The sequence below is a fragment of the Homo sapiens genome, chromosome 5 (assembly GCF_000001405.40).
Source record: "Homo sapiens chromosome 5, GRCh38.p14 Primary Assembly".
Lineage (NCBI taxonomy): Eukaryota > Metazoa > Chordata > Mammalia > Primates > Hominidae > Homo > Homo sapiens.
The window spans coordinates 58297079-58302583 of NC_000005.10; the positions used below are offsets into that span (position 1 = coordinate 58297079).

Below are 5505 nucleotides of genomic sequence, written 5' to 3' on the forward strand. Positions count from 1 at the left end.
CCTCTCGCCTCAGCCTCTCAAAGTGCTAGGATTACAGGCATGAGCCACTGAACCCAGTCCCTAATGTGGTACTTAAAATATTTCTTGTTTCATCTCATTGTGCATTACAGTTTGCACAGAAAATGGGAACATAGTTAAAAGAAAAACCTTTTTCAATTATTGGAAATAGCAGCGAAACACCCTGCATTTATTCCATTTCACTTCTAACACAGGGGTTATCCCAAAAATGCAGTTCCAAGTGAAGGCAAACATAAATTCATAAATAAAATACTTGAACAGGGATAAAAGTAATCCAGTTATCATGGGCTACCACCTCCCCCTCCACCAAGTGTACATCATTTGCTTCAAATTAAGACCTCTCCAGAGGGCTGAAGACATAGTCAAAATGATGAGAGAAAAGTATAATGAACAACAGGAAATTGGGAATTTCCTAATATTGGAATGAGATAAATGACAGAGAAGCTGCCTCTAATTCACAGTTTAACACACACCCTGATGTCTGCACCTTGATTTTGGGACTCAGAGTGACCCTGCATTAATATGTTTCTTATCTCTTTCAAACAACTTGCTGGAGCATCTTTCCAGGGATATAATTGTGTTAGAGGAAAGAAAGTTTTTAAAACAATAATTCTTCTTTTACATTGACCTTTAAGATAGCCAGAATTTTCTACCTCATCATTGTTAACCTCCCTACATAATAAAATAAGGTCTGAAATCTGCTTACTCTTAAAAAAAATAGTTATCACTAATACAGCATGTACTTTGGTTGAACTTAAGAGTCAGTATATGCCATTAGTACTCAAGTTAAAAAAAAAAAAAGAAAACAATAATCAAATTTCCCTCTAATCTTGGATGGCAGCCTTCTGGAAGATTACTTGCATTAATTCAAAATTTTACTGGGGCAGTATCAAAAAAGCACCATGGTGTCTCCAGTGGAATACCACCATAACTGAAAAGCATAACATTAGACAAAATAACTGCCTGCATATGTATGTGAGTACAGCAGTACCTTCATAGGCAGTTGAATATATAACCACAGGATCATTCAGGGTTTGTGCCAACCGAAAAGTCTTTCCTGGTGATTTGCTGTCTTTCCATTGTAATCCTCCTATTTCTCCATTCCTTTCTAAATGAAAGAAGAGGGAGGAGTGGTGGGCCAGACCAGGTGGAATTCCACCTTCTAACTGCCTGCTCCCAGCTTCCTTGCTGTCCATCTAAGATTAGCTGACCAGTTTTCCTTCAAACATGGCCAACTCTAGCCATCTCACTGAAGAAACTTGATTGGCTCTGTCCAGATCTACAGATGGCTGAGGCAGTAGAAAAAGATATTTATTTAAAAGAATTTTTAAATAATACAGATAATATGGAGTAGATGCTATTGTATATAATTTATATATATATAATGGAGGAAGTATGATAGAGGGGAAAGAGAACACACATCAGAGTTTCAGCGTAAAGAAGGTATACCTAGGTTCAAATCTTGCTATGCCACCTACTAGGAGGTCATTATCTGTAAGCTGTGGTTTCTAATATTTACCTTAGAGAGGTATTGGGAGAACAAGAAGGGTTACACATATAGCTGAAGAAATGGCAGTTACTACTACTGCCACTACTACCACTACTACTACTATTACTATTACTACTACTACTACTGGTGAGGATGATGATAATTGAACAATGTCACAAAGCACACTGGGTTTTTATCCCATTACCTCATTCCCTTGCTAGGTTTTTATTCCATTACCTCAAGCTCTGAGTGTAAGTAGCAGACTTTGCTCTGTACTATCACTCTGGGGCATTTGCCATCTGCAGCTCAACCAAAGATGGCTGTCATCACCATAAAGATGTATTGTTCATAAAGCAAGAAAACTTTGCATTATTTCAAAAAACACCATACTTCTTCAGTCATCAAAGTACAGGTTCATACCAAAAGAGCCTCATTCCATACTTTCTTGAATTTCTTTAATGAGATTGTTTCTAAAATTCGCTCAATTTAAAATTTACTTCAAAATAGCTTTTAAATATTCCTGTCAAATTAACTTAAATGCAATTTTTTTCTTTAACAATTAAGCAGTTGAGTCATATCCCTCTGGGAAATATATTCCAATCTCTAAAACTTATATTTTTAGCTCATCTTTTTTTTTTTTTTTTTGCTTTTCTTACATAATGAAGTGTAGTCATTATCTTTTCCATTTTGCTTATTTGAAAATAACTAACCTTGAGTATTTGAATAAAATATATTTTGACCTTAAAAAACACACACACACATTTCCATGGATGTCTCAAATCAGTACATGTGCTCCTTAAGGAACTGCTTCCCTTGCATGCCTTAAGTAAGAGCTTTAGCATAAGAAGCTGAGTGTACCAGGGCTGGCAGCCCAGGAGGTATGGAACCATTGCTGCAAACACCCACAGAGATAGCATCAGGCTGCAGGCAAATTGTAATCAGGCAAAGAGTGTTTTCTTCTATATTTGTCTCCTTAAAACCATGAAGATCAGCTTTAAAATGCAGTTCTCTATAAAAAGGAAAAAAACAAAAACAAAAAAAGACAAAACAACAACAAACAAATAAAATGCAGTTATCCTAAGATTCATTTTTCATATGATATTTATTTAATCACCTAATACTTCGGTTTGATGTCTCACTGCATAGCAAACACATTCTTCTATACCCATCAGCTTGTGTTGCTAAAGAAAATTATGATTTGTGAGAAATATATCCTGGAACCACAAGTCTAGGGATGTCAGTTTAATCTCTTATATATATATACATTTTAATAGAGACAAGGTCTCTGTATGTTGCCCAGGGTGGTATTGAACCCCTGAGCTCAAGTGATTCTCCTGTCTCAGCCTCTCAAAGTGCAGGGATTACAGGTGTGAGCCATTGCCCTGGGCTGAGTCTATGTTTTTTACCCAAAGACATCAGTGTTTATCTAAAGTGTCTGGGTTATCCTAGGGACCACAAGGTGTCTCCGGAAGTCACCCTCAGAGCCTTACATTCCTTCCCAACCCCCTTCCACATAGAAGGAAAAATAGGCAACAGCAGCACTCTTCCTTATCTGGTAAAACTACTGCTCAAATGCAGAGGGAAAAATATCACTCAACTTGTCTGTAAGAGCAAGTTAACTACTGAAAAATAAAAGGGGAAATTAAAGTGAATTTCAAAATAAAAGAATATATAGTTGCCTCTCAATGGAAAGGGAAATTAGGACATGTAGTTTGACAGAAACAACATTGATTCCCTTCATCTAAGTTAATTAATCTGTAAAAGTAAAAAGAAAGGTTTAATGGACTAAATGTTTGTGTCTCTCCAAAAATTCATGTGTGGCAACCCTAATCCTGATGTGGTGGTATTTGGAGGTGGGGCCTTTGAGAGATAATTGGGTCATGAGGGTGGAACCTTCATGAACGGGATTAGTGCCTATATAAGAAGAGGCCAGAAAGCCAGTTTGCTCTCTTTCTGCCCTGTGAGAATACAATGAGAAGATGCAAGAACATGGAAGAACTCAACCTTGCTGGCACCCTCATCTTACACATCTTAGACTTCCAACCTCTAGGACTGTGAGGAATAAACTTCTACTATTTATAAGCAGCATGTGGCACTTTGTTAAGGCAGCTGAACCAAGACAGATGGCAACACCCACAGTGAGCTAATGAAAAAAAGGAACCTAAGCAAAAACTATTAAGGGAGAAAAGCAGAGCCAGAACATGAATGATCAGGCTACAGAAACACCTTCTAGGGCTACAAGGGTTATTCAAATGGACAGTGCTGAGCAAGGGAGAAAGTTTATACTTATTCCATATCTACATATATCGGGTACAAATCTGTGTATTTTTTCTTTTTCTTTTCTTTCTTTCTTTTTTTTTTTTTTGACACAGAGTTTTGCTCCTGTTGCCCAGGCTGGAGTGCAGTGGTGCGATCTCGGCTGACCGCAACCTCCACCTCCCTGGTTCAAGTGATTCTCCTGCCTCAGCCTCCCGAGTAGCTGGGATTACAGCCATGTGCCACCACGCCCAGCTAACTTTGTATTTTTAGTAGAGGCAGGGTTTCTCCATGTTGGTCAGGCTGGTATCGATCTCCCAACATCAGGTGATCCGCCTGCCTCGGCCTCCCAAAGTGTTGGGATTACAGGCTTGAGCCACCATGCCCGGCCAGATCTGTGTATTTTTTCATGCATTAACTCAAAAAAGTAAATAATATATAATGTCTTTAATCAATTAATGAGCAAATTAAAGTTCAGAGAGATTAAGTACTTTCCTAAGATCACAAAAATACTAAGCAGAAATTGCTTTTAAAACCAGGTCCCCACCCTGATTTTAAAGCCTGTTTTCTCTCTATTGCAACACTGATTCCAAAGGGGAAGTCTATTACGTGTAGCACTGGACAACTTTCACAGAGAAGGCAAAGTAAATTCTCAGGATATTAGGACTCTTGGCATTTCCAAGGATTTCCAGTAATTGGTGCTGTTTCTCCCTACAGCCATATGTTCCTACCCCCAGAGGTCTGAACTCCTAATAGTGGAAAATAAAGTTTGCCCCATAGGCATTCATGATGCAAGATGTCAAAGTCCGAATAAAGACATGTGAAGTTTCCCAAAAAGATACAAATTTCAAAAAATGAGATTTATCTGCTAAAAGTCTTAAAATGAAAAAAAGAAATAAAAAATGACATTTGTGAGATTTTGAGAATTTAAAATAAAAATTGTTTAAAAATTAGCAAATGATTTAATAATAATAAAATTAGGATTTTCAAAGTCAGTGATATAATTTCTACCCATAGAAACACAGGAATATATATATATATATATATGTTAAGTATTCTACTAGGCACTTCCAGTAAGCATTTGTGAAATACATTAGTTAAACATTGGACGTAACAAAAATATTCAAAAAAGGAACAAAAGCAATATCAGAGGGCCTCTGGTCCAAGCATTATTTTATTTTAACATACTGCAGCTAAGGTTAGCTGATTAAACACCCAAATGACAATTTCTTAAATAGATTTTTACTTTAGCCCATGAATGAGAACTCTGTTGCATGTGTTGGCTGGGCAATTCTCCCTACAGTCACAACCTGGTCACAAGGTAAAAATGTGTTTTCTACATGTTAAATCCTTCCCTCTGCCAATTTCCTTGTATGTAGAAAATACATATATTTTTTTCACTTAAAAACATTCTAAAAAATTGAACTTGGCTTCTGAAACTAGCCTACAAAAGGGAGAGCGGAAATGAAACTTTATGTGTTGTTATCTTTCATTTACAGATGAAGAAATGCTCATCAAAAGTCCAACAGAACCAGAAGTCCATGTCCTGGAGACCAATGGTTCTCCTGTGGGCAATTTTGTCCCCATAAGGAGACACTTAGCAATGCCTGGAGATATTTTTGTTTGTCACAACTAAGAGGGATGATACCAGCATCTTATGGGTAGAGGCCAAGGATCCAGCTAAACATCTTACAATGACAGGACAGCCTCTCACAGCACAGGATTATCCTATCCAAGATATC

At 37.3% G+C, this 5505-nt stretch overlaps 1 annotated feature.

Annotated features, from left to right (window-relative positions):
• Window positions 2851-3051: a silencer, noted in NCBI's record as "peak5254 fragment used in MPRA reporter construct". NCBI's record gives its function as "represses an SCP1 promoter by STARR-seq MPRAs in K562 erythroleukemia cells {active_cell/tissue: K562}" and the evidence as "EXISTENCE:reporter gene assay evidence [ECO:0000049][PMID:32103011]".